We start from the raw sequence: 27936 nt of genomic DNA on the forward strand, positions 1-27936 counted from the left end.
GGGAAGATCCCGCCCTCCTTGGCTCTGTATTCCTAGGTAGTGCATTGCCTAGTGGTTGGTTAATTTTAGGTGTCAACTTGACTAGGCTGAGGGAAACCCAGATAGCTGATAAAACATGCTTTCTAAGTGCGCCTGAGAGGGCGTTTCCAGAAGAGATCAGCATTTGAATCAGGGGAGTGAGTGGGAAAATCCACGCTCCCCGAAGCCTGAGGGCCCAGATAGAACAAAAAGGCAGAGGAAGGGTGAATTCTTTCCTTATTCTGGATCTGAGACATCCATCTTCTCCTGCCCCCAAACATCAGAACTCGGGGTTCTCAGGCCTTTGGACTCTGGGACGTACACCAGCAACTTCCCTGGTTCTCCAGCTTGTAGATGGCAGCAGGACTTCTCATCCTCCATAATCACATGAGCCAAGTCACATGAAAAATCCCTGCTCATCCCTCTCTCTGTGTACATCCTATTGGTTCTGTTTCTATGGAGAACTCTAATACAACTGGCACAGACTAGCTGCTCAACAAGTGTTTTATTTCTGAATGACTGAGATGTTTGAGCAGCTTCCAAGCTTACATACCTGTGTTTCCATTAAAGCCATTGTTTAGGAGGCCGATGGCAACAAAAGGTTGAAACATGGCAAAATCAGGGGCAGTTGATTTGAGTTATACCGTGATGTGTTTACATTTGTACTATGATAGGGATTTATTGCAAGGAGTTAGGAATGCTGGCCTCTAAAAGCTGGAAAAGTGTATTTTGTTGGGGAGGCCTGGGAGCCCCCATCTCACACACAGGAGGGAAGACACAAGGGGAAGCACTCGTGACGATGAACGAGATGTTGTTCCTGCCAGACGCAGGTCCTTGCCATGTGTGTGCATAACCTCATTTCATTCGATAGCAACTCAGGAGGAGGAAATCATTATTAACTGTATTCTTTTATGTACAGAAGCTGAGGCTTGAAAGTGAAAATGACACAGCTGTTCATGGTCTTGCTGGCATTGGAGCCAGGAGAGAAAAATCCCTTGGTAAAATCTCCCAGCTGAATGGGGAAATGGGAATATATCCCGCATGGCCCAAAGAGACCATGGCTGGAAGTGGTCACAGTCCTCGAGGGGGAGCTGTGTGGTGGCCAGGCTGTGGTCATGAAGACACAGCGGCGTGGGAGGCTGAGGGTCGCTGGGGATGCTGGCTGGAATGTTTCTGTTAATAGCTGGAGCTCCAGAGCCTGTCCTGGAAGAGGGATGGGGGCCTGGTCCTGGGAGGGTTTGTAAACCGGCATGAGCACATGTCAGGGTGGAGCTCTGACGTCAGGCCCCTGGCATGACTACAATAGACATCACACAAATGGGGCAAGAGGACCAAGCCTCCCCACGGTATAGCTGCTCAACTGTGTGGGGGGAGCTGTGGTGAAACACAGGACTCACTTAGAAAGATCCAGAGAGATAATCCACCCACAGAAAACCTGGAGAGCATTTTGAAACTTCCTACAGGAAATCCAGGAGAAAAGGAGTCCTATTCAGTGATGGGAGGGGGGGCAGGTCAGGGGCCGCATCGGAAGGCAGTCGTCTGAAGGGATGCACGGATTCACGACGGAGGTGCTGAGACAGCCACAGGAGATTGGGTGGGGAATCTAGAGCTGGGACACTCTGGTTTTGATGGAAGGAGCATCGCCCTAGGAAGCAAAGACACAGATTCGAGTCCAGGCCTGGAGCAAACTTCAATCACCCTTAAGCCCTCTGAGTTTCTGCGTCTGTGAAATAAGCATAATGATTCCCACCTCACAGGGGCAGGGGCAGGGGCAGGACACTGTGAGATTGTAAGGGTTGGTGTCCCTCTTCGCATGGAGTCAGCAGCCGGCTGGGCTGAGGGAGGTGTTTCTGTCCTTAGGTGTCGCAGGCTGGCTCTCGTGCGTCCTTCCTTCCACTTCTCCCCACCTGCATCCACACAGAGAATACACTACCTCCATAAAACGCTTGCAAGGGGCCACTGTTCTCAGCATTTCACCTGTCAACCTCACTTAAGCCTTAAACAGCCTATGATGAGGTTCTGATACTGTCTCCCTTGGCCTGCTGGAAGGCCCAGTGCTGAAGGACAACTGGGCACCCCGGCTCTTGGTATGGTCAAAGGCTCTCACCTGGACAGGGAGGACCCCCTCCTCTCCCTGGGCCTTCTGCTGCCCTGAGCCCCTACTGCTCTCTGCCACGGACTCGGGAGGGAGCATGAGCTGCATCCAACAGGCCGCAGCAGGTCCCGGCCTCTCAGCACCCAAGACCAGACAGAGGCAGTGCCTCGGCTGCAGTAAAGGCCTAGCGACCTGGGTGGGCATGGGGCACACGTTCTTACTCTGGCATTAGAGGTCATGCCACTGCTTGTCTTTACCATTCTACCCAGTGTCCTGCGAGGACTTGGTCCTCAGGTGGGTCACAAGTCTCAAGTCCATTAATTAACTGGTCGGAAGTGAGTCCTGGTCCATCCCTGTGAGGAGCAGGGGGACTGGCACCTCATTTCCTCGTGGACTCATGGCCCTACACAACGACACGCCTGGCCTTCCTGGACCCATGCACTCACTCCAGAAGGACATTTGCTTTGAGCTCGCCTGGTGGATGGGGTGCCCCTGAACATCTAACCATCAGTTGACATTTCCACCATCAGAAAGTTCCTCTAGGCAGCGCCCAGCTAGTGCTCCAAAGAGGTGCAGAATCTCTGAGAAATTATGTGGTCCACAGTCAACAGCTAACAACATTCATAGGACCTTATTAGCCGCCAGCTTGGAGAAGGCCAGTGTCCAGAATAAATCAAATCCTTCATAATTGTCAGACGGTGGTGACTCGGTCAAATCTCGGTCAAAAGATGCTCTGGCCAAAGTCAACAGAGAGCAGAAGCAACTTGCTTTTGCTGGTGCCTCAGCAAGACCACACAGGGAGATTTGCAGGCAATAAACAATGTTGCCTAAAACTTTCCCGTGAGGTGGGAATTGTTTTCATCCAGATAAGAAGGTGCCGGCCCAGGGGAGGTGTGGGTGGCCAAGCCAGGGATGGAGCCCTCACGTGGCCTCAAGAGATCAGCAGCCAGGAGTTAGCTCTCTCCACAGCACGCTGAAACGGCTCCACGCCTCTGCTGGTGTTTTTATAGGAACCCCTTTTGTGTGTTTGCTTCCTAGCTTGGACTTGAGTCAAATGGTCTATTAATTAGGGTAGATTTAGTCACTCCTGACATCAGCTTGTGTGGTTCGAGCAGCCCAAGGGGAAGAGACAGGGCCTCCTTTATGCAGACCCCGCAGTCTTCAGAGGACTGGACACAGCCCTGGCCCTGCTGCTGTCTGCCGTGCCTTTTGCTCCCTGGGTTTCATTCCTTGGTCTGTACCTTGAATATAAGGAGATCCGTTTGTACATTTTGCTCTCGTGCATTATACCAAAGGAAAAGAGAAGATAGTAGTTTAAAGCTCCCAACACTTTTCATGTTCTGAGCCTTTAGGTCTCCCATATGGTAGAGAATCCACAAATATCAGAGGACCCCAAACCTCGCCCGAGATGAAACAGCTTTGAGGCTTCCAGGGATCCCTCAGAAGGCTGCACCCAGGCCGGCCACACGTTAAAACGTGATGGCTCTTTTCTTCTCTGTTCACTGTGGTTTTATCAGACAGAGCTCTAAACCAGTTTATTCAATGACATGGAGTGATTCTCTCCTGTCTCTGCTTGTCCAGTGTGTGACAAGAGTTGAGAAGTGGGGAGACACAGGGGGCACATTGAATGCAGGTGGTCTTACCCGCCTCACTCAGGATGCACGTCTTGCCTGGCTAGGCTTGGCCTCCTCTGCACTGTGTGCCCCTCTAAATGAAGCGTGACCCTTCTTCCCCCACCTCATTGGTGGTTCTCTGCCCCCATGAGCTCAGCCAGCTGCTTCCCTGACACATGCAGGTCCTAGCCTGGACGAGACGGAGCAACAAGGCCGAGTGGGGACGAACACTGGCCTGGCTTTCAGGTCCACCTTTGCCTCATGCAGATGCTTCTCTACCCTTTATGATTGAGATCCTGGAGCAGGGGATCACCTTGTTGTAAGGACCATAAAGTGGAGAAGGAGCAGGGAGAGGTTAGGACCATTGCTGCAAGCTCCTGGTGTCCCTGACAGTGAGAGAGGCAGGACACTCGCCTGGGCTGGGCCTGAAGATGCTGCTTTCTCCTCTGCATGCCTGGGGTCCAACGAGGGTCATGGGACCCAGGAACGTCTCTGCAACTCTGTCTGTAAACATCCAGGAGCTAATTGTGACCTGGAAGTCATTCAGAACTCAGCACAGAGGCCTTCAGAAGTCCCTGCCTTCAGATAAGGGCAGGTGCTTACTCTCCCAGTGGCTAGCACTGTTAAAACAGACTTTTTTTTTTCTATAGCCAACATCATAACAAATGATGAAATACTCAATAACTCCCCCTAAAACGGGAAGAAAGGGAAGGGTTTCTGTTTTTGTTTTCATCTCTTCTTGTGAGCATTGGGCTGGGAGGTTCCAGCCAGTGCAAAGAGATGAGGAAAAGAAAAGTATAAATATTGGAAAGAAATAAGTAAAACTATCCTCATTTACAGGTGAAATGAGGTGGCAAATCCTAAGGGATCCACAAAAAATCAACTTGAACCAATAAGTGAATTCTGCAACATCACAAGACACCAAGTCAATATGTAAAGATCAGTTGTATTTCTATATACTACTGATGACTAATTTAAAACATCACAGGACACCAGGTCAACATATAAAGATAGGTTGTATTTCTATATACTGCTGATGACTAATTTAAAATGAAGTCAAAAATACTATCTATAATAGTAAAATCAAATACTTAGGGATAAATTTCACAATATATGTGAAAACCTCTACACCAAAAATTATCTGAGAGATATATCTCTAAATATACCATGTCTAATTCTTCACAAATTGATCTAATCATTCAATGAAATCTCAATTGGAGTCCCTGTGGACTTTTCCTCTAAATTAACAGGATGATTTAGAAGTTCATAGAGAAGTGAAGGTCTAAGGGCAGCCACAGCCATCTGGAAAGGAACGGCACCATCAGAAGAGTTGTCAAATCTTGCACCAGTAAGGCCATAAAGAAATAGCTCACTGGCATAGAGCAGAGATTACAGAAATAGGCTGACAGGCACCATCCCATGATTTTCAACAAGCAGGCCAAAACCACAGGGGGAAACATGGTACTGAAATAACTGGATATCAGGCCAGGCGTAGGGGGGCTCATGCCTGTAGTCCCAGGACTTTGGGATGCCAAGGTGGGAGGATTGCTTGGGTCCAGAAGTTTGAGACGAGTGTGGGCAACGTCATAAGACTCTGTGTCTCTACACAGAGATGTAGGCCAGGCACGGAGGTGCACACTGAGGCAGGAGGATCCCTTGAGCCCAGGGGTTTTAGGCTGCAGTAAGCTGTGATCGCAGCTTGGGCGATAGAGTGAGATCCTGTCTCTAAAATATAAAATATATAAATAAATAAAAGAAAACTGGATATCCACATGAAAAGAAAAAAGAATCTTGACTCCTCCCTCTCATACCTTCGAAACTGAGAGGTTAGGCAAGGGTTTCATAGAGAAGACACAAGCCATAAACTAGAAGATTGATAAACTAGAGTATAACTTACAAGGGAAACGAGAGTGACTTCATGCTGGAGAAACCTGGCCAGCACACTCTGCCAGGTAGCCGAGGTCAACATCAGCAGTGAGCCGGGCCGAGGCAGGACCCCTGATGTGGTGGGATGAGAAGCGCCTCACCTCTGCTCTTCCTCCAAGGAGCCCACAGCCGGAATCTGATCATGAAAAAAAGACTTCACACGAATCCCGGCAGACAGACACTCCCCCAGATGCCTGAGCCCAGCTTCTCAGAACTTTCAAGATCACAGAAAACAAGGAAGGTCTGAGAAACTGTCACGGCCCAGAGGACCCCAAGGAGATGTGACAAGCAAATGTCACACGGGATCCTGGATAGGATCCCGGCCCACAAAACGGCCACCCGAGAACAAACCAAATGAACCGTGGGCTTTAGTCAATGATTATGTAGCAACGTTTGTTCGCTAATTCTGACAAATGTACCATTATAATGTAAGGCATTAATAATAAGCAAACTGTGTGAAGTATATGGGAACCCGGCACTATCTTTATAACAATTCTGTAAACTCGAAATGGCTCTAAAATAAAAAAACTTCATTTTAAAAAACCAGCCACAGGGGAAGGAGGGAGATTGATAAATTGGACTTCAAGAAAATGGAAGTCATTGGGTGAAAATACACACAACAGGGACACCTGATGAAAGACCTCCGTGAAGAATGTGTAAGCAACTCTGGAGACCCAGCAATCAACAGACTACTGCCCAATTCTAAAAAACGGGCAAAGACTTGAGCAAACAGTTTGGAAGATACACAAATAGCTGATGAGTTTGAGAAAAGCTGCTCAGCCTCGTAGTGATCAGGAAGTGCAACTGAAAATCTCAGTGGGACGCCCTGCACGCCCGCCAGGATGCAGGCGGAAAGAGGCTGACAACACGACAGTGAGGCTTATGCCAAGCAACCGGATCCTCATCGCCTCTGGGGAGAGCCTGGAATGTGGCCACCACTTAGGACCATGGCTTGGAAATATCTTAAATCCAACGTATTTCTACATGCTAGTGATGCTGCTCATCAAGGGGGTGAGCACTCATGGGCTGGGGATGCTACAGGGTCCTCAGTGCCTGCCCATTTCACAGGACAGGAGACTGAGGTCTAGAGGGAGGCAACAGCCAAGCACGCCCTGGATCCAACGCCTCGCCCAAGCCACCACGGCTGCCTCCTCCTCTGGCCCCTCCATCTCCCCCACTCCTCCTTCTCCCCCTTGTCCCCCTTCTCCTTCTCCCACCCCTCCTCCTCCTACTCCCTCCTCCTCATCCATTGTCCTCCTTGTCCTCCTTATCCCCCTCCTTGTCATTCTCCTCTTCCTCCTAGTCCTCCTTCTCCTCCTCCTTCTCCTCCTCTTCGTTCTCTTCCTTGTCCTCCTCATTCTCCTCCTTCTCCCCGATTCCTCCTCCTTCTCCCCGACTCCTCCTCCTTCACCTCCTCCTTGTCCTCCTCCCTCTCCTCCTCCTCCTCCTTGTCTTCTTCTTCCTCCTCCTCATCCCCCTCTTCCTCTTCCTAATTCTCCTCCTCTGCCTCCTCCTTGTCCTCTCCCTCCCCCTTGTCCTCCTCGTCTTCCTTTTCTTCCTCCTCTTCTGTCCCAGGGCTTTCAAACTCTGGCTCTCCAACGACATGGAAGAGTTAAAAGGAGGAACGCCGGCTCAGCCAAGCCCCGGAGACTCCTACTTGATATGGGCAGTTTAAAGCCACTTTCCCTTTAAATTTTTCTGTGACAACTCTTTTCATGGAGAATGGAAAGACTCTCGTTAAGTGTTGCCGTTCAGAAGTGTTGGTGGTCGTTGCTAACATGAGATCCAACAAGGTAAATGCCAGAAGCCATCTGCAAGGGGTAATACCTTATTCTGCTTTTGCATAAGTGATGCTGCATCCCTTTATCTCTCTGCTGCGGCCTTCAGTGCTGATGGCCTGTGCCACCCAGTGACTGGTTAAATCAGCTTGAGGAAGAGCTCTTTTGAGCCTCTGTCCTGTTTAGCAGAGGAAACTTCAAAGTCCCAGCATCCTGGTCATGGAATGCTATGTTAACCCTTTCCAAAGTTTGAGACTGAGATGGGCAGACCATTTTAAAGACACACTGCATCCAGCCTCCCATGACAGAGCCTCATGGGAAGGGTGGTGAGCAGAGTCGTGGGGATATTCTATCCTGAGCCTTCCATGTTGGGGCTTCTCGGAGACAGGGGAGGACCACAGCCTCAGTGACTGGCCATTGGCCAAATACACTCATTAAAGTGCCCTCTTCTCCAGGGCTGGGGACCTGACTCTCTCAGTCTGTGGGGCCCAGCCCACCTGCTCCTCCCTAATGGCTCCTGCTGGATGGGGAACAGCCTGGCACCAGGTGAACCATCACTGACTCTCCCTGGGGAGAGACGAGGGAGGAGGGGGCATGTCCAAGAGGCCAAGGTACAAGCCCAGTGCCCTGCAGGTCTTCCAACATTTCCAGCCGTAATGGCCATGATCACCATGGTCTGGACTTTCTGAAGAAAGTCTTTTCACAGGCTCGGCCTGGCTGGAATCTGACCTGTGAAGCCTTTGGGTCAGTCGCAGGAATTATCAAGCATCTGCCATGCCTGGAAGAGTTGGACTGGGGAGGCACAGGGCCTGCCTGGCGTCAGGTGCTGAGGAAGGGATGATAAATGCACCCCCTCTGTTTTGTCCGTTTCTCACGGCCTCTCTGGCCACCCCGTCCGCCTGTGTCTGTCCTGCCCAGCCCTTCTCTGACGAGCGTGTCTTGGCGCTTTGTCTCTGCTCACCCTGGGCTCATCAGTGTAAACAGCAGGAGGTTCCACCCCAGGCGAGGTGTGCCATTGTGACCGAAGGTCTCAGGGAACAGAACTGAGTCTGGGTAGGTTGAGCTGGGAGTTTCATAGCTGTAGGAAGCTGCGATCGCAGCTTCATGATGCAGACAGAAGGCCTTGTCTCAGCTCAGTGGGGGAAGCCCCTTGTCGACTCTAGGCAGGGGGGATTGTACCGCTGCCTCTCCCAGTAGCAGCTCCCAGGAGGCAGTACAGTCACGGGGCCCCGCTGGTAGAAGCCTGAAAAGTCCATCGGGAAAACCTCAAAGGCCACCAGTCCTCGAGGTAGCTGCTGCTCCAGCTGTGCTCACCTGGAGTGGAGGGGCAAACGGCACCAGGGGTGGGAGAGGTCAAGGCAGAGCCTCTGCCCCATCCTAGACCAGCTGCACGAGACGACAGCTCACACCAGCTGCCCAGAGGCACAGCCCCTCTGCCAGGCTTCAGCAGGGCACGGCTTGATCTCAAGGCCCTCTCTTCTCGTCCCACCGCCCCTCCCTCCTGTGACAGGAGGACCAGCAGTTCCACTCTGAGCCCGGCTGAGGCCCGACCTCCTCCACCTCAGCCCTGAGAATCTTCTCCAGCTGGGATGGCTGTTGCCCTGTTGTCCTGTTGCCCTGTTGCCCTGTTGTTCTGTTGTCCTCTTGTCCTGTTGTCCTGTTGTCTTGCCCTCCCAGCTCCTGACCACACAGGGGCTTTGTTCCCGCGCCAGCCTCTTTGGGGAAAGTGGGGGAGGGGGGCCCTGCTCCAGGCTCTGGGACATTTGGCTTGGGCTGTAGCCTGTGTCCAAGGAGAAGAAACCCTGAAGGTGGGTTCCCACCAGATGTGGGCATGGTCAGCTACATCAGGCCCCCAAAGGTGTGCACATCCTAATCCCACGAACCCGTGGGCACGTTACCTTACATGCAAGAGGGGCTCTATGGATGGAGTCGGGATAAGTGTCTAGAGATTGGGAGGTTGTTCTGGGTCATCCAGATGACTTATGAGAGGGCCCTTATGAGAGGGAGACAGCAAGCTCACAGAGAGGGCCATGGAACAACAGCAGCTCAGACACAGCAGAGGCCGCACAGCTGTCCTGGGTGCCGAGTAGCTGCAGAGGTCGGAGGAGGTGCAGAGCAGGTGTTCTGCAGCCTCCAGAGGGACCAGCCCTGCTGACTCCCTGGCTTTGGCTCAGTGAAACTCATTTCGGACTTCTGAGCTCCAGCTCTGCAAGAGAAGAAATCTGTGCTATTTTAAACCACTAAATTTGTGGTTTCTGTTTCAGCAGCAGTGGGAGAGGGCGAAATGCTCTCCAGCTTGGCACCCGCAGCCCAGCTCAAAGGCAGGGACTGTGGTTGCTTTGCAAATGAGGGAGGCTGGGTCCCTGCCCTCACCGGGCTTACCATCTAGGTTTGGAGAGGAGTGACGTAAGGTGAAGTCAGAAAAGAATCATAAGAAAAGAGAGTCCACACCCTGGAAGGATCTGAGGCAGAAGGAAGCTCTTGCTGAACCACCTGAGAGGAGGCGGTCTGGCCTGAGCACCCTGGGGGGCCTGCGCCCCCACTTCGAGGCCCCTCTGGAAGGTGCTTGGCTCTCCGGATGACCCCAGCACTGGGGAGACCCGCTGTGCTTTCCAGGCAGCACAGACACCTCGGTGTAGGTGTTGTGGTGCCACAGGGAAGGGTGTTTCTTCCAGCCTGGTTCTCAGGACGGGCTGCTGGCTGGAACAAACCCCACCTCTATCTGAGCCACCAACCATCTGAACCGGTATTCTCTCTATCTGACAAATATTCCTCCTTCTTTACATCCCAGAAATGGTGAAAATGCACAATGCCTCAGGACGCCTTGAGGAAGGAGCAGCGTGTTGCTGCTGAGGGTGAACACACGTGGTCTCTGAGGAGAGGCGACAGATCTCCCTGGGCGTCAGTCATCCTGGGACTGGGTGTCGTGGAAGAAGGTGACACCAGGCAGAAACCAAGAGCAGGGGAGCTGCAGGCCGGTATCAGAGCCCGTATCAGAGCAGAGTGGCCCCTGAGCGGGGAGGCAGCTGGAGCTCACTGTTGGAGGAGGGCCCGGCACCTGCACCTGAGGACATGAGTCTGAGGCCTGCGGAGAAGCCAGGTGAGACACCGCTGTGCTTCTCTGGGCCACGGCCCCTCACGGCTGCATCCAGTCACCAGAGTTCCTCTGTGCCTCACCCACCCTTGATCATAGAAGACAGCCTGCATGTCCTCAGCTCTGTCCTCCAACCGGCTGCCCGGGAGGCCTCCCTGGCTGCTCCCCAAACTGCACGTGCCCTGAGTCAGCCCTGGGGCCTCATGGACTCCCCTGTTCACGCATCCCGGCAGCGCGCAAACCATCCCTGTCGGCTCCCAGTGAAATGCTACAGGATCTCAGGGCAGCTGCACCCCGCAGGTTCAGAAGGGATGGGATTCTGTGTCCTTTTCCTTCTTGCTTCAGACCTTCACCTGGGGCTCTAACACCGAAAGTCTGTGCCAGACAGAGGCATCCACAGCGACAGGAGCCTGGGCCAGGGCGGCCATCCCTGCTGCAGAGACAAATGTCAGTGTCCATGGAATCAGTTCGGTGCGGTGAGCGGCAGGTCTGATATGAAAGCTACTCGCACTTCCCGTCTGGGCAAGAGCAGGAACTCGGCAGGCAGAGAGCTGGTGGAGCTTTCCATGGGAAAACCAGAACCTTCAAAGAGCCCGGCCTCCCTCTGATCAGCCCCTTCTTTCTGATCAGATGCATTATTGACGAGGCAGCCTCCTCCACCTGCCTCTCATCAGAGCAGCTCGTTTCCCACCGTGGTAATTTATACTTGTGATTTTGGCCTTGATCAATAAAGGCAACGGAGAAGACGCACCCGTTCATTTCCTACAGGAGGGGCGGAAACACACAGGCCTCTGTGCAGAGCTTTCCTGGGCTCTTCTGAAGGCAAGCAAACCCATCAAAGGGAAGATCTGCACGCTGAAAGGTCAGCAGTTCCCTTTTCCCCATGGGATTTGTGTTAGCAACTTTGCGAGTGGAAGATGCATTTGGAACTGCCAGTCCCTTACAGCCCTCACATGGGAGGTGCAATGTTCATCCTGTCACTATTTTAAAACTCGTCTCAGGGTTGGGAGTAACTGAAACCGTTTTGGGCTTAATTTTGCATGAGGACGTAGCAGAGCATGACAGAAGGGAAAAAGAGAAAATGCTGGCAAAGGAGAAATGGCCCTAAGAGGGAAGCCGGATCCCTAGCTGGGTCGGAGTAGATGAGCGGGGAATGAGGGGCTGGAGGATGCAGCTCCGAGCGTGCAGGGGTGGTGTGCTCTCGGGAGGGAGCTGCTGTGGAGCTACTAAGGAGGGAGGCTGAGGGGTGGGAGAAAGCCCAGGGCTGTAATCGTAGCCCCTGGAGCCTGATTTAAAAGACTGGAGGAGGCAAAACCTTTCCTGGGTGACATCCATCCAGGGCATGACCCTGCGGCCTCCGTGTCTGCTGTGGGCGAGGCTGTCCCTGCAGCCAGCCCTGCCCCCATCCCTTCCCTTCTAGGGATGTTGGAGTGTGGGGCAGCCCAGCTTCTGCCCACAGCACAGATGAGGAACTGAGGATGCAGGGGCCCGTGGGGGACGGCACACGGTCAGCCCAGAATTAGGACCTAAGGTTGGCCCTATGGGTTCCTGCAGCACAGACGTGCAGCATGTGCACCCACATGTACACACAATCAGGCATAGCCACAGAGAATCACACCCTCCCACGCACACCCACACCCACACACCCTCCCACAGGCACACGCGCACCCTCACACTCATGGTCTCGCCCTCCCACAGGCACACCTACACTCACCCACGCCTACAGGCACACAAGCACACACTCCTTTCCCCCCACAATCCCTGCACACCCGTGGGCACCTATGCTCTCGTGTGGTCTGGATCTGCCCTCTGTGTGCACAGCCTGTGCCTGGCCCAGCGTGAGTGACTCGTGGATGCTCTGCAGGTGAGACCTGAGGTGAGTGTCCTGGCACCGCCCGGGCCTGGCTATCGGGAAGCTCCGCCCAGACGGCCGCCTCCTCCCTGGCGCGGGCCTCTTCCCTAGGAGGAGCTCGTTAGCTTGTTTTTCCATCGGTATTCTTTGTCCCCAGTCACCCGGACCTGGGGCTGGGCACTGCCAGGGGCAAATGTGCCATGTGGAGAGGCCAAGCGGGGGACAGGGGCGGCTTGTCCGCCAGGTGGCACCGAGGCGGCTGCGTGTGGGGCAGTGTTCCCACTCTCGTCACCAGCCCGCACTTCCCGCTGCCTCTGAGTATTCTGTGGGGGCTGCCCCGGCTGCAGCCCCAGGTGTAGCCTGCTGGAAATCTCACGGTGTCCAGGCCCCATCCCTAACCGGCCCGGGGCATCCCTGATTTCGTGCTCACCGAGAGGGGCCTCCCTCGGCCTGCCCAGCTAAGAGCCTTGCAGGAGCCCTTCTCCAGCCTCACACTGCCAGCCCCTTTGAATTGCAGCACTCAGGTCCCCAGGAAAGGTGTTTTTATCCAGTTAGCTGTTTTTTATACTTATGAAAAAGCTCCGTCGCTTGGAGCAAAGCAGAGTTGATTTTCAGATGTGATTTCTGCAGGCAGAGCAATGTCTGGTTCCTGCTGTTTCTTCTGATGGGCGCGGCGGTGACTGAGGGTGTCCTGCGAGCCGTCGGTGAGCGCTCAGCTGTCCTGGTCTGCAAGTTCCTACTGACATCACAACCTGCTGCTTCTCTCTGTCCTTAAGGGTCAGAAGATGGAGAAAAGGTTCATGTTTCCACCCCTGTATTCTGTTAGGTTCGGGTTTTTGAGAGAGGCTTGTGGGGAAGGGGCCGTGTCCCCACTCCTTCCTTTCTTCTTGTACACATATTTACATCCACTGATTGAGTGATTTACAATCACTCAACATGATTGACGGAACTTCTGGCACTGCGGAAGCTGTGCTAAGGCCTGGGCATTCATGGGACATGGAGCGTGCAAGAGCTGAAGTTTTAATGACTTGCTTGCAGAAAAAGATCAAGTTTTACAACAGAAAATTATGGGGCATAATTTCTATTGTGGCAAGGGACCAGGGCCGTCTCCTGGAGGAAATCTGGAGAGAACATGCCACAGCCAGGCCGGCGTAGAGAGAGGCTCTGGCAGGGGCCCCTCCCAACCCACCCCTGCATGCGTGGGGCTTCTGCTCAGCAACAGGGGCGCAGCTCCACTTTCAAAGTGTGAGGGGCAGGGGCTCAGGTCTCGGATGCCTTCACCACCTGCCTGAGTCGGGCATCGGGCAGGGAGCGTGCGGGGGCCTCTGCCTCTGCTGGCCCAGATGATTCCCTGGCCCTCCTCAAGTGCAGCTCCCATTAAATAGATAGAGCCGGGCTCTGAGCCACGAATTGGGCCAAGCATCCCAAGGGGGTGGAACCGAGTCAGGAGTCAAGACCAGAGGCCAGGAACTGCCCACGCCCATGTTCCTTCCACAGGGCCAGCCTGTCCGGTGGCAACACTAATACCATCCCATGAAGCCTGTGAAAATTAAAGGGAATGGTGCATGTTTAGAGGCCACACACAGCAAGTAACCAATGAACACCCACCCTTCATGCTTGGTTTTCATCACTGGGCCAGCAGGGGCGGAGGCCCCAGCACTCTCCCTGCCTGATGCCCGACTCAGGCAGGTGGGCTTGAGAGCCCCTCCCGGGGCTCCAGGGCTCTGAAGGCATCCAACACCTGGGCCCCTGCCCCTCACATTTTGGAAGTGGAGCTGTGCCCGTGCTGCTGAGCGAAAGCCCCATCCAGCTCTCCGAGAACCAGACGAGGGGCAAGGGAGATGAAGTCTTCCTGGAAACTTGGACTCCAGCTGGTGTGGGGGTCAGAGCAGCAGGCTGAGCCTTCAGGGGGCCTCCGGCAGGCTCCCAAGGCTGCGCTGTGCGTCTCTTCCACCACACGCACTGGGGCATGAGGCCAAGGGCATCGTCTGCAGAGCGAGAGGGAAACTGGGGTGGCAGGGCTTGCGGGCGCAGGACAGCGCCAAGGGGCTTTCGTCTCCCAGCATTAGGACGACCTTGTCCTCTGCCCCTGTCTGGGGGCCGCTGGGTCCCTCCTCACAGGAGCGAGGCAGGCAGCTCTGGTGCAGGGCCGGCCAACAGGCCTCAGATCTGGAGTCACAGACCCAAGGACGAGGACAAGGGCCCCACACACCTCCAAGCAGGCCCTGAGGTACTGACGGGCAGGCAGGACCCTCTGTGACCCTTCCTCACTCCTCACCCAGAGAAGCCAGGAGAGCGGGATGCCGAGGGACTGGAACAGAGAAGGCCTCTTGCAGGGGCTCATGGACAGGAAAACAGAGGAGCCTGCCAGGGCCATGGCCACTGGCAGGACAAGTGCCCACTGGAGCCAAGGCCTGGGCAGGGGAGAGGTCTGCAGAGCAGAGCCCGGCCCTGGGTTCCCACAGAGGCGGCTCGCACAGTGGCTGATTTGCCACTCGTTCACTCAGTTTAGTGAGCAGCACGTGAAATGCTAAATCCGTGTGGGCTCAGGAGCAGCCTCAGATGAGGAGAATCCCACAGTTCGTCGGTGAAGCCCCCACCCCAAATCTCCCACAGTCCTGCTCATGCCCAGGGCGGCAGGTGTCCTTTCTAATGGGTGAGAGCCAGGAGCTGGGGGCTGCGTGCGCTGTGGCCCCTCACCCATGGGGGCCTTCCAGGACCCCAGCAGATGCCTGAAACCGGGGAGTGCCCGACCCTGGAGAGTGTCTTTTCCTATACACACATATCCACCTGTGTGGGTGCGTAGCTGAGTGTGTATGTACACCTGTGTGTGAAAATATCTGTGTTTGCATTGGTGTGTGTGTCCATGAGTTTCTGTGTCTGTGTGGGTGTGTGTGCCCATGAGTGTGAGTGTGTGAATGTGTGTGGGTGTGTAGGTGAGTGTGGATGTGTGTGTGCGAGTGTGAATGTGTGCCCCGTGGGTGTATAGGAGAGTGTGTCTGTGTGCGTGTGCAAATATGTCTGTGTTTGTACTGATGTAAGTGTCCATGAGTGTGTGAGTGCTTCTGTGTAGGTGTGTGGTGTGAATGCATGTCTGTGTGTGCCTGTGTGTGTGTGTGTCCATGAGTGTGTGAATGTGTACCTGTGTCAGTGTGTGAGTGTGTCAATATGGGTGGGTGTGTCCTCCGTGAGTGTGTGCGTGAGTGAATGGTGTCTGTGTGCAGGTCCTCACCATGGGCCGTGTCTCGAGCACATGTGCCCCTGCCTCGGTGGACCGCACGGCCGGCTGGGAGACACAGCCCAGGTGCAGGGCACTCCACCTTTCAGGGCAGGCCTTGCTCGCAGCAGGTTTTCTCCCAAATCTTTGTCTCTCATCTTATCTGGGCGGAAGGTTTTACCAATGAGAAGCAGAAAGGCATTCTTTTCCTCCTTGCTGCCTGCTGACAAGAGGCAGCCAGCCGACCACTTGAAAGGGAGCCGGTACAGTTAGGCTGGGAGGGAAACTTGGATCACAGCCTGGAGATGGTGCGGTGTCCAGCCACTCTGCCGGGAGCTGGGCACTGTGTCTGACACACCGTTGCTGCTGGCCACTTCTAGTATTATTATTTCTGCTCTTTCCTTTCCTTCATCATATGCTCCTGGAAGGGGCTCAGAGGTGTCCCCACCTTGCCTGTCCTGGAAAGTTGTCTCAGAAGGCCCTGTCCCGGTGGAAAGTGCTGGTGGCTCTGGGTGTCTGGGCCTGAATGGTGGGGTGTGGTCCGCTTGGCTCTGAGCAGAGCGCCTCCATGACAACGCCACAGTGTGCAGGGAAATGGGGGTGGGTGTGGGGGAAGCTGGGGGGTACCCCCACTCCTACTACCTTGAGCTCAGACCACCCTCTGCAACTTCCCTGGGGACCCCCACGGCCACGGGCCCTGGTCCAGTGGTGGGCTCTGCTCAGCCCAAGGGCTTTTGGATTAGAGTGTTACCAGCTTCCTGAGCCCATCCCCACCGCCTGACCTCGGCCTTGGCCTCCTGAACTCATTCTCAGCCTCCTGAGCTCGTCCTCAGCCCCCTGAGCCCATCCTCATCCTCCTGAGCTCCTCCCCAGCCTCCTGAGCTCCTCCTCAGCCCCCTGAGCCTGTCCCCGGCTTCCTGAGCTCCTCCCCAGCATCCAGAGCCTGTCCCCAGGCCCTGAGCCCATCCTCAATCTCCTGAGCTCTTCTTCAGCCTCCTGAGCGGGTCCTCAGCCTCCTGAGCGAGTCCTCAGCCTCCCAAGCCTGTCCTCGGCCTTCTGAGCTCCTCCCTGCCCTCCTGACCTTGTTCCTGGCCTCCTAAGTTCATCTTAGCTCAAGGAGAAGGTCTTGGCTCCTCCTGCCTCCAGCAGCCCCTGGACTAGATGCCTAGTTTATCAGCAACCCAGATCTGAGCCTCCTATCTCAGACCCTGGACCATGGAGCTGTGGGCACCAGGGAAAGCTCTGGGGCCTGCTTGGCTTAGATAGGACCATCGGCCCCAGTGCTGAGCCTGGCTTAGGGCCACCCAGGGACGTGTGCTCTTCATCACTTCCTTCAAGCCAGTATCGCAGTGTCAGGAAGACCCGCTCTGTCCTGGTCACAGCGGTTCCCTCCTGCAGGACCCTCAGAGCCACAGGGCAGCAGAGAGACCTGAGCAGATGGTCCTGGTTCCACGGGGCTCCCCTATGTCACCCTGGACCCAGTAATTAGACTCTTCGGGTAGAAAGCTCCAAGGATCAGTGAGGTCTTGGGGGGTAAAGAGGCGCACACAATGATTGCTTTATCTCCCTCAAATATGCAGAAAATGAACTCCATCAGCACACACGGGCCGCAGGGCTTTGTGGGTCCCCAGGGCCCCCTCTGAATTACACTTTTGTTTTCCTGTGGGAGCAGCTTGTGCTCATTAGGGGAAGGCCAGGTGCCCGTTCATCTGGTCAGCCCCCATGCAGCCTGTTGGAGCAATGGGCAGGTGGCCAGGAGTTTGCCCCACATGTTTCTTTCTGAGTCTTTTGTCCAGCTGAGAACTTTCTACTTGATCTGTGCAGGATATCTGAGCAAGGCTGACCACTGCCCAGGCCCTGCATCTGGGCCCACAGAGGCCCCGAGCTCCACCCGTGGTGTCCCTTTTAGCTTAAAGCTGTGATCCCTCCCCTCTGCCATTGCTGGCAGATTTCCAGCCAAGGCCCAGACAAATTTCTATCAGGGGGTTTGAATGGGGTGTGCCTGGAGCAGAGTTTTGAGCAGGACCTGAGGAAGAACAGGGTCCCCCACAACACGGGTGCTGGGAGATGCTTCCTCTAGGCTGCATCCTGATGGGGCCCCACTGGGGATGCTCCAGCCAGCGGGCACTTCAAAAGGTCCCTCCGCTGCTCTGCTGAGGACAGTGATGATTCCTCAGCGTGACCACTCAGGTCCTTCCTTTTCCCCAGTGCCCAGAGCCATGTGCTGCCTGGGGATTCTGCTCTGTTACTTGGGACCCACCAGTGCCCATGGCAAGAGCTGCAGGCTCAGTGCAGCATCGGCCTTGGGACCTCGAGGGAGTGCTCAGCCACCCACCAGGTGACCCACCTGCCCCAGGGCCATCAGGCCACCAATGGTGGGGAGAGAAGGTGACAGAGGATGCAGGTGGCTGTCTGGGCCGTGTCTGCCTGGGGTGTGGAAGATGTCAGGGAACACAGGCCCCAGTCGGATGGAGACTCAGCTCCTAGTTGCTTTCGTGCTGATGGAGTGGTGGCCATGGACGGCACTGACACCCAGAACAGGATGTGTGGCCCGTGCCTGGGGCACACAGACCCCAGCATCTGAGCCCGCCTGTCGCTGGTGGGGGAGAGGGTACCGCAGGTGTCTAACGGGGGCAGAGGGTAGACAACAGCTCCCTCCAGAAGTCACTGCCCATCCAAGTCACGAAGCTTCCCATCAGTCCCCTGCTGCCATTATAACGGGCTTTGCTCAAAACAATGCCTTCGCCCTCTCCCAGCTCTGGAGGTGAGCGGTCTGGAACAGGCCTCACTGGGCTAAAACCAAGGTATCAGCCAGGCCTGGCCTCCTGGAGGCTCCAGCAGCGTCCCCTGTTCCACTCCTAGAGGCCCCCACGTTCAGCCAGTGTTCCTGGACCCTCCAGCGGCTGCCTTCCTAGTCACGTGGGCTCCCCCTGCCGTCAGATCCCTCTCGGGACATGTCATTGCCCCGGCCTCACTCAATACTGCAGGATGCTCTCCCCATCCCCAAGCCCTTAATTTATCCACATCTGCACAGATCCCAAGGATTCTGATGTGGACATCTCCAGGGCCATCAACCTCCTACCACAGCATTCCCTGGCCTCAAGGGCGGACCAGCTCAGCATTGGAAACGCCAGGGTCCGGGCCGGCCTCATGGCCTCCAGGCACCCTCTCCCATCCACTCTCCATCAGGCACCAGGCAAATCTCAATCCCCAAATCCCTCTGGCGCCATGGCCGTAAAGAGAAAACCCAGCCTGGGTGTGGCCCCCACCTCCGCGGCTGCAGCCCTGCCCTCCCCGAAGGCCGCTCCCCCTCCTGCTGCCGAGCCCAGGTCATGGCCTCAGCTCCAGCTTCTCACCGTTCCCAGGTTTTGCAAACTCTCTTGGGCCCTGTGTCTCACCTGCTTCTCCTAATTCTTACGTGGAGTCATGGAGGGTCCCCATATTGGGTTTTAGGGTTCAGAAGCAAACCCAACCCAGCAGGCTCCTCTCCTAGGAAGACCCCATCAGGGACCCCTCCCTTTCCACTGCTCTGTGAGCCTGCAGGGCCCAAGGTGGCCCTGATCTGACAGCATCTCTGTGTGGTAGGGAGGGAGCTGCGGGTGAGCAGCCAGTAGCACTCGTCTCACGCCCTCCCCAAGGCCATGTGTGTCTATGTCCACGTGTGTCTGTAGGTGTGAGCGTGTCTGCACATGTACATCTGGGTGTAGATATGTGTGTGTCCGTGTGTCTGTGTGTGTCTATGTCCCTGTGTGTCTGTCTGCATGTGTATATGCGTGTCTACATATGTGTCTCCATGTCAGTGTGTGTCTCTATGCATATGTACATGTGCTTCTGTGTGCATGTCCATGTGTTTCTATGTGTCTGTCTGCATGTGTCTAAGGCTCACAGGACAGAAGCCACAGCCCCACTTCTGTCAGGGCCATGGGGAGGTCAGTGTTCTGGAAAACACGTCCCCCAGGGGTCTCTGACTCACAGAACCACTTCCTCATGCCCTCTCTGCCCCCACAGTTGGGGAGCACAGGCGCCCACAGCTCAGACCCACAGCTGTGACTCACCCACCTGCTGGTCTCCAGCTGGGCCACTGCCCAGGAAGGGTAGCTGAGGACAGAGAAGGAGCCCACAAGCAGGCAGGGTCCCAGGCAGGGTCTCTCTGGGCCTGCACACAGCCTGCTGACTGGCCCTGGGCAGCCCTTTTCTCACAGGACAGGAGGCCTCCAAAACCCTTTGTGCCCAAGGCCCAAGAGCACTGGGAAAGGCCTGTGAGGCTGGGCGGCCACGCAGGCCTCTCACCCCCGGCCAGTGCTGGCCAACAAGTGAGCCAGATGGCATTTCACTGGGTCTTGATCTCCACATGTCCAAGTCTGCAAACACTGCTTCACATCTGCTTCTCCTGAGGGAGATGCCCCTTCATGTCTCGGGGTCTTTTTCTCATTCTTACTGATTTATAGAAATTCCTTACACATTCCTGAGGCCTACCCTTCGTTAGTTATGTCCCCGGTGAGTATCCTCTCATTTTTAGCTTCTCTTTCATTTTCTTTGAGGTTATTTTTGACCAATAGTTTTTTAAATGTACTCACATTTTATCAGACTCCTATTTTATAGCCAGGGCTTCTTACAATGTATTTAAGAAATCCTTCCCTACAGCCAAGGTCATAAATTGTCCACCTACATTTTCCAGACAAACTTTTAAAGGAAAACTCTTACATAAGTTCTTGCCCCATGTGGGGCTTTGTGTATGTTGGGAAACAGGGATCTTATTTCTTTTTCCATATGGAAAATCATTTTCCCACACCCAGTGATTGCTCTGTTCTTGCGGGAAGGGAAACTCCACAGGAGAACAGGGCAGCAGGGCCCCAAGGAAGGACGAGTGAGGCCCAGCCCAGCTGCCTGCCCCAGGAGTTGTGAAACTCCAGGATGAATTCAGCATGGAACAACTTTAATCCATTCTAATCTGAGGATAAAACTCAGAGAAGTCTTTGCTCCAGGTGAGGGTGCAGTTTGCACAATTAGCTAAATGCTGTCAGTACCAGGCTTTGGGATTTTCTGTTCTCCTTTCAGAGAAAAGGGCAGGGCAGGAAATGCGGGCACCAAACTGAAGTGGGTGTGCACGTGTGTGCTTCGCTATGGGTGTGACTGTATGTGTCTCCATATGTGTGTCTGTGTGGACATTCAAGCATGTGTATGTGTCTTTCTGTGTCTGCATGTGCACACGTGTGTCTACGTGTGTGTGCATGTGTGCCTGTGTATATCTGTATAGCTGTGTGTGCATGTGTGTCTCTGTATGTGTGCCTGTATGTCTATATGCATCTCTGTGTGCACATGCATCTCTATACATGTGTGCCCGTGTGCATGTGCACGTGTGTTCATATGTGTATGTGTGTGCACATGCATGTCTGTATGTGTGTGCGTGTGTTTCTGCATGTACATGTGCACATGCCTTCATATGCATATGTAGCTGTACCTGTGCATGTCCGTGTCTATATGTGCACATACATGCATGTATGTGTGCACGTGTGTCTCTGCATGTGTGTGTATGTGTCTGTGTATAAGTACGTGTCTACATGTCTGTATGTAGGTGCCTGTGTGTACATGAGTGTATGTGTCTCTGGGTGTGTGTGGTACATGAGCAGGTATAGGTTTGTGCATGTGTATGAGTGTCTGCATGTCTGTATGTGTGTGCCTGTGTGTGTGTGTGTATGTGTCTGTGTGTCTGTGGTTGTGTGATGGGCTGACTTGGTGCTGTGAGGATAAAGATGTGCTTCTCCAGGCCCTATGAGGCCCAACCCCCTGAGCATAGGGAGACCTGCCCTCACATTTTGTGTGGAGAACAGCAGGTGAGGGTGGGCACTGGAGTGCAGATGGCGGGAGGGCGGCCTCAGCCTGTGGAGTCTGCAGAGGGGATGGGGGTGTGTGCTCCCAGAGCTGTGCTCTTTTCCTTTTGGAGGCAGATTCCGTATCCTAAGCTGGAGTTCAGTTCTGAGGCTTTGGGTCCAAAACCTCAGTTGTAGGGTCAGGAGCAGGGGCACCAGGTCTGGGGACAGAACGTCGGCAGGTGGCTCCTGTCTCGTGCAGATGTGGTGCCTGCCTCACCCCATTCTCTGCCAGGACCCTGCAGGTTCGGATGCACATCAGGGACTGTGGCTCCCACCTTCCCTGCTCCTAACTCTTCTGTCCTCCCAGGCACGCCCCACCTCCAGCCCTGGGCTCACCCCAACCATCACTTCAGGCAGGAGAGTCCCCATTTGTGGCTACTAGTTCATTCATTCATTCAGAAGGGCCCTGGCCATCAGCCACCCTCAGAGCGGAGTGCAGCTCCACCACTTCGGCCAGGTGACCCTAGTCATGTTCATGAATCTCCCAGCCTCTGATCCCACCTCTCTCAGTGGGGCAACAGCACCCGGTGTGCAGGGTGGCGGCCCAGGGTGGCCGTGGAGTGAGTCACTGGGGAGGGTTCCTGGGTCCTGGGCATCTGAACTGGCTGCACTCGGAAACCCCAGTGCAAATGGGGCAGAGCAACAGTGCGTCTGTGGCAATGGTCCTGGGAGCAACGGTACGTCTGTGGCAACGGTCCTGGGCCCACAGCACGGTCCCAGGCATTCACTGAGTTCTCAATTAAATCAAAACCCCCTTCCACAGAAAGCCCCTCTCCACACTCAGAGGAGGCGGAGAGGCTGGAAGTGTCTCTTAATGAACTGTTTACTGCGAAATGCCTTTCACCTTCCAAGCTGCAGTCTTAGAATTAAACCTGGCATTTGAATGCAATCATGAAGAGAGGGGAGCTCCTCTGTCAGCCAGCAGGACACGATGAAAATCCAATTAAGTTGTGCATGTTAATTCCCCTGCCTGCCTGGGCTCATTGCTGGATGAGGGAGGGGGAGCACGCAGTTTTCTATAGTTTATCTGCACAGCCCAGAGGCAGGTGTTTTACCCGCTGACAATAAAACCCAACAGAGCTGTGACCAAGTGGGTGAAAATAGCAAGTCATTAAAAACGAGCATCTTGAATGCCCATCTTTCAATAACGTAGACGGAAAGTGCTGGAATGAAGAGATTAGGGAATTAATTGTATTGAGGATCCTCTCACTAGCAGACCCCAGGGCAGGAAAAGTGTCTGGCCACCTGCCAGGACCATACAATGGGATTATGTGGGCCCCAAGAGAAGGAACCTGGCTGGACACCCCTGTTGGTTCAGCAAGGAACCAGCCCAGATTTTTGGAACCTGAAAGCACTGAGGTCTTAAATCATGAAACTGGGCTTGAAAGAAAAGCACAAAAATAAGAAAATAAAAGAGAAAGAAAGAAAAGAGAAGGGAAGAAAGCCAGGGCCCTCGTAAGGTTCTTGGTCTTCCGGGGAGAACAGGAAAATCCACCTCGGTTCATTTCTTGGAACTCGATGAGAAAACAGAGGTACTGTCTTCACTTGAATTAATTTTTACATTTAAAATCTGATAGTAAGAAGGAAAGGGTACGTTAGAACTGCAAGAAAATATATGCAGTAACTACAGATTTTATCATCCAGTAACCTGGGACTCTGAGGGCAGGACATGCCTAGGACAGCAGGGTACGAGCACCCTGCAGAGCGGGCTGCCTCCTGAAGGGCCACCCACACCAGGCACGGCGGGGGTGGTCAGGATCCTGTGCCCTCACTCCTTCTCATTCCCTGGGAACTGGCAGGAACATCGCTGCTCTGGGCCAGTGCTGGCCTGGCTCCTCACGAACGCAACACTGCCAGCTCTGCGCCCCTCAGACTGCTGGAAGCATCCCGTAGATCAGAGGATTCTGATCCCTGCCTCCAGGGATGGGGTGTCCACGGCACGTCTCCAGGTATGAACACACACAATTTGGCATGAACACATGCCTTTGGCGTTCTCTGGGACTAGACTGGGCAGATTAACAAGGTACCTTTAAACAGGGGTGCCCAACCCCAAGTGTGGACAGGTACTGGTCCGTGGCCTGTCAGGAACTGGGCCGCACAGCCTCCCGTCGGATCGGCGGCGGCATTCGATCTCATAGGAGCATGAACCCTGTCGTGAGCTGTGCGTGTGAGAGGGATCCAGGTTGCGTGCTCCTTATGAGAATCTAACTAATGCCTGAGCATACGAGGTGGAACAGTTTCATCCCAAAACCATCCCCCCAACCCCACCCTCATCCCACAGTACGTGGGAAAATTGTCTCCCATGAAACTGGTACCAAAATGGTTGGGGACGGCTGCCTTAAAACACAAGGTTGATTTATAGTAAAGGAGCAACAGGCACCGAAATTCACACTCAGGAGAGGAGCCGTGCGAGCTAAAGGAACACAGTCCGTTCCCGTCCTGCAGGAAGCCATCAGCGCTTCTCAAACGTGACGCGGTTCTCACCTAGTCCAGCGGCTATTTCTCCTCCCACTTTCCTGGAGGAACACCGCTGCTAGGCCCTAGGTTTCTGACAGCTCAGCCACTTAAAAGTAGGAAATCCAGCTGCCTAGGACCCATCTTGGTCTGTCCTTCACTCAGTGTGACCTGGAGATTCCTTCGCCTTGTTATGTGAATGTTACGATCTCACACCCAGAATGCAGCAAACATGAAAACCTGTCATTATGAATGTGGATTCCTCCACAGAATAGACGCCTAAATCATGGTATACGGTCTAATTAAATGGAATATTAAAATGAATGAGCTAGAATTTATAAATCAACATAGATAATCTAAGAACAAATTAAATACAGGGACACCAGCAAGATGGAGAACTAGGAAGCCCCAGGGAGTCCTCGTTCCCCCACCGAGACACTGGTTAGCAATAATCTATGGACAGAACAGCCAGTGTGAGAACCCCAGAATCCGATTAGGAGGTTGCAGCACCCCCTGTGAGTGCAAAGCCCAGAAGGGCCACATCTGAGCAGATAAGAAAAAAAGTCACAGCATTTTGTGCCCTGGTGCCTACTGCTCCCTGGCATGATAGGAGCCCTCAATGCCCTCAATGCTTGGCTGCTCTCTAGAGAGGGAGAGTGAAGAGTGGAACATGCATCCAATGTTCTCGCTTTTCAGGGGGCTGCCCATGGGACTGGTATCTGCCTCACCTGACTCAGAGCACTGAGGGAAACTTGCAGAGCTTGAATGTCAGGTAAGGGGCTGCTGAGAGCAAAGACGAGCATCTTCGCTCAGCACAAAGGATCCTGCGGAGCCACAGACACCAGAGGACAGAGGCCTCCTGAAAAACATGGGCAAAACTCTAACTGGGAAACTACTTACACAAGCCCAAAGAAGATGCATCCCCAGAAAAGGCTGAGAAGTTCCAGAATCTCTACCTGGGCTGATTAGTGAAAGTACAAAGCAAGTTAACAAAGACTGCGGGAAGCACAATGTATTTGAAATGCCCAAATATCAATACAAGGTCACAAGGCATACAAAGAAACAGGAAACCAAGGCCCAGTCAAAGGAACAAAATATATCTCAGGAAATGACCGTAAAGACACAGAGATGAATTAACTGATCATTCAAGGTAACCTTCTTAAAGATGCCCAGTGAGCTAAACAAGAACAGAGACAACTGAACGAATTCAGAATACGACTTATGAACAAAATGAGATAACAACAGAGATAGAAATTATAAAAACTGAACAAAACAGAAATTCGGAAACTGAAGAATAACTGAATTTTAAGATCAATAGAGGAGTTCAACAGCAGACTTGATCATGGAGAAAGAACCATCAAATTTGAAGAAAAATTATCTGAAATTATTGAGTGAGAGGAGGGAAAAAAAGCATAAAGAAAGTAATGAGAGCCTGTGAGACTTACGGGAAAACATCAGGCAGAACAATGGAGGTTTTTTACCCCAGAGACGCTGTGGGTTTGATCCCAGGCCACTGCCATAATGTGAATACCACAGCAAGGTGAGTCACAAAATATTTTGGTTTCCCGGCGCATATAAAAGTAATGATTATACTATACTGTAGCCTGTTAATTGTGCAATAGCATTATGTATAAAAAAGTATATACCTTAATGAAAATACTTTCTTTGGCTAAAAATGCTAATGATCATCTAAGCCTTCAACAAGTCATAATTTTTTCATGATGGGGGCTCTTACCTCAGTGTTGATGTCTGCTAACTGATCAGCGTGGCAGTTGCTGAAGACTGGGGTAACCGTGACAATTTCTTAAGACAACAATGAATTTTGCTCTTCAATGGACTCTTTCCTTCACAAAAGACTTATCTGCGGTATGTAATGTCGTTTCACAGCATTTTACTCACAGTAGAACCTCTTTCAAATTTGGAGCCAGTCCTCTCAAACCCTGCTGCTGCTTTATGTAATATTCTGAATACCTTGTTGTCACTTCAAGAATGTTTGTCTCTACCAGGAGTAGATTCCATCTCAAAAAACAACTTTCTTTGCTCATTCGTAAGGAGAAACTCCTCATTCATTAAAGTTTTACCCTGAGATTGCAGCAATTCAGCCACATCGTCAGGCTCCTCTTCTCATTCCAGTTGTCTCACCGTTTCCACCATCTGCAGTTCCTGCCTCCATTAAAGTCTTGAACCACTCAGAGTCACCTGTGAGGGCTGGGATTAAATCCCTGCAGACTCCTGTTCATGTTGATATTTTGCCTCCTCCCATGAAACAGGAACGTTCTTAATGGCATGTAGAGTGGTGAACTACTTCCAGAAGGCATTCCATTCGCTTTGTTCGGATCCAGCAGAGCAATCACTATCTACGGCAGCTATAGCCTTAAGAAATGTATTTCTTTCTTTTTTTTTGAGACGGAGTCTTGCTCTGTCACCCAGGCTGGAGTGCAGTGGAGCAATCTCCACTCACTGCAAGCTCTGCCTCCTGGGTTCACGCCATTCTCCTGCCTCAGCCTCCCGAGTAGCTGGGACTACAGGCGCCCGCCATCACGCCCGGCTAATATTTTGTATTTTTAGTAGAGACGGGGTTTCACCGTGTGAGCCAGGATGGTCTCGATCTCCTGACCTCGTGATCCACCCGCCTCGGCCTCCCAAAGTGCTGGGATTACAGGCGTGAGCCACTGTGCCCAGCCAGAAATGTACTTCTTAAATAATAAGATGAAAGTCAAAATTACTCCTTGATCTATGGGCTGCAAATGGATATTGTGTTAGCAGGCATGAAAACAATATTAATTTAGTACATCTTCATCAGAGCTCTTGGGTGACCAGCTGCATTATAAATAACCAGTAATATTTTGAAAGACATTTTTTTCCTGTGCATAGTTCTCAACAGGGGGCTTAAAATATTCAGTAAACCGTGCTATAACAAATGTGCTGTCATCAAAGCTTTATGTGCCATTTATAGAGTGCAAACAGAGTAGATGCGGCATAATTCTTAAGGGCCTTAGAATGTTCAATATGGTAAATAAGCATTGGCTTCGACTTAAAATCACCAACTGCGTTAGTAATTAACAAGACAGTCAGTCTGTCCTTTGCAGAATTGATGCCAGGTATTAACGTCTCCTCTTCAGCTCTAAAAGTTCGAGATGGCATCTTATTTCAATAGAATGCTGTTTCATCTACATTGCAAATCTGTTGTTTAGTGTAGCCGCCTTCATCAAGCAGCTCAGCTAGATCTTCCGGAGAACTTGCTGAAGCCTCTACATTAGCATTTGCTGCTTCACCTTGTGCTTTTATGTTATGGAAATGGCTTCTTTTCTTAAGCATCATGAACAGCTAACTTCAAACTTTTCTCCTGTGGTTTCCTTACCTCTCTCAGCCTTCACAGAATTGAAGAGCGTTAAGACCTTGCTCTGGATTGGGCTTTGGCTTAATGGAATATTGTGGTTGATTAGATCTTCTACACAGACCACTACAACTATCTTCGTATCAGCAACAAGGCTGTTTTACTTTCTTATTTATGTGTCCACTAGAAGAGCACTTTTAATTTTCTTAAATAACTTTTCCTTTGCATTTATAACATGGCTAACTACTTGGAGCAAGAGGCCTAGCTTTCAGCCTATCTTGGTTATTGACACACCTTCCTCACTAAGCTCACTAACGTCACTTCCAGCTTTTGACCTAAAGTGAGAGATGTGTGACTCTTGCTTTCACTTGAACACTTAGGTCATTGTAGGGCTATTAACCTAATTTCAATATTATTGTGTCTCAGGTAATAGGGAGGCTCAAGGAGAGGGAGAAAGGTGAAGGAATGGCCAGCTGGTGGAGCAGTCAGAACATACATAACATTTATCGATTCAGTTCACCATCTGATATGGTATGGGCAAGGCGCATGGCACTCCAAAACAATTGTAATAGTAACATTAAAGATCACCAATCACAGGTCACTATAACATATATAACAATAAAGAAAATTAAAATTATTATTATAAATTGTACTAAAATGTGACACAGAGACAAGAAGT

At 52.7% G+C, this 27936-nt stretch overlaps 2 long non-coding RNA genes across 4 annotated transcripts, besides 8 other annotated features; one reads left to right on the forward strand and one right to left on the reverse strand.

Moving 5' to 3' along the window:
* Positions 1-508: 508 nt before the first annotated feature.
* Positions 509-25704, reverse strand: LOC105375113 (uncharacterized). 3 transcript variants are annotated; one of them, NR_187845.1, is made up of 4 exons: positions 25656-25704; positions 5624-5788; positions 1769-1925; positions 509-1663 (listed from the first exon to the last, which is right to left on the reverse strand). It is a non-coding gene; the product is annotated as an uncharacterized LOC105375113 (long non-coding RNA). The 3 variants fall into 3 exon arrangements; NR_187846.1 differs by lacking the exon at positions 5624-5788; NR_187847.1 differs by lacking the exon at positions 1769-1925.
* On the forward strand, positions 7058-13441 carry LOC101929756 (uncharacterized). The gene is made up of 3 exons (NR_187733.1): positions 7058-7445; positions 10222-11386; positions 13007-13441. It is a non-coding gene; the product is annotated as an uncharacterized LOC101929756 (long non-coding RNA).
* Positions 11622-12394: an enhancer, noted in NCBI's record as "H3K27ac-H3K4me1 hESC enhancer chr7:81530-82302 (GRCh37/hg19 assembly coordinates)". NCBI's record gives its function as "activates a minimal SCP1, AML or CMV promoter by ChIP-STARR-seq in naive and primed H9 embryonic stem cells {active_cell/tissue: H9 hESC(naive and primed)}" and the evidence as "EXISTENCE:reporter gene assay evidence [ECO:0000049][PMID:30033119]".
* Positions 12395-13165: an enhancer, noted in NCBI's record as "H3K27ac-H3K4me1 hESC enhancer chr7:82303-83073 (GRCh37/hg19 assembly coordinates)". NCBI's record gives its function as "activates a minimal SCP1, AML or CMV promoter by ChIP-STARR-seq in primed H9 embryonic stem cells {active_cell/tissue: H9 hESC(primed)}" and the evidence as "EXISTENCE:reporter gene assay evidence [ECO:0000049][PMID:30033119]".
* Positions 14459-15182: an enhancer, noted in NCBI's record as "H3K4me1 hESC enhancer chr7:84367-85090 (GRCh37/hg19 assembly coordinates)". NCBI's record gives its function as "activates a minimal SCP1, AML or CMV promoter by ChIP-STARR-seq in primed H9 embryonic stem cells {active_cell/tissue: H9 hESC(primed)}" and the evidence as "EXISTENCE:reporter gene assay evidence [ECO:0000049][PMID:30033119]".
* Positions 15183-15906: an enhancer, noted in NCBI's record as "H3K4me1 hESC enhancer chr7:85091-85814 (GRCh37/hg19 assembly coordinates)". NCBI's record gives its function as "activates a minimal SCP1, AML or CMV promoter by ChIP-STARR-seq in primed H9 embryonic stem cells {active_cell/tissue: H9 hESC(primed)}" and the evidence as "EXISTENCE:reporter gene assay evidence [ECO:0000049][PMID:30033119]".
* Positions 16631-17354: an enhancer, noted in NCBI's record as "H3K27ac-H3K4me1 hESC enhancer chr7:86539-87262 (GRCh37/hg19 assembly coordinates)". NCBI's record gives its function as "activates a minimal SCP1, AML or CMV promoter by ChIP-STARR-seq in naive H9 embryonic stem cells {active_cell/tissue: H9 hESC(naive)}" and the evidence as "EXISTENCE:reporter gene assay evidence [ECO:0000049][PMID:30033119]".
* Positions 19635-20283: an enhancer, noted in NCBI's record as "H3K27ac-H3K4me1 hESC enhancer chr7:89543-90191 (GRCh37/hg19 assembly coordinates)". NCBI's record gives its function as "activates a minimal SCP1, AML or CMV promoter by ChIP-STARR-seq in naive H9 embryonic stem cells {active_cell/tissue: H9 hESC(naive)}" and the evidence as "EXISTENCE:reporter gene assay evidence [ECO:0000049][PMID:30033119]".
* Positions 26375-27144: an enhancer, noted in NCBI's record as "OCT4-NANOG-H3K27ac hESC enhancer chr7:96283-97052 (GRCh37/hg19 assembly coordinates)". NCBI's record gives its function as "activates a minimal SCP1, AML or CMV promoter by ChIP-STARR-seq in naive and primed H9 embryonic stem cells {active_cell/tissue: H9 hESC(naive and primed)}" and the evidence as "EXISTENCE:reporter gene assay evidence [ECO:0000049][PMID:30033119]".
* Positions 27145-27915: an enhancer, noted in NCBI's record as "OCT4-NANOG-H3K27ac-H3K4me1 hESC enhancer chr7:97053-97823 (GRCh37/hg19 assembly coordinates)". NCBI's record gives its function as "activates a minimal SCP1, AML or CMV promoter by ChIP-STARR-seq in naive and primed H9 embryonic stem cells {active_cell/tissue: H9 hESC(naive and primed)}" and the evidence as "EXISTENCE:reporter gene assay evidence [ECO:0000049][PMID:30033119]".

Source organism: Homo sapiens, chromosome 7, assembly GCF_000001405.40.
Source record: "Homo sapiens chromosome 7, GRCh38.p14 Primary Assembly".
Taxonomy (NCBI): domain Eukaryota; kingdom Metazoa; phylum Chordata; class Mammalia; order Primates; family Hominidae; genus Homo; species Homo sapiens.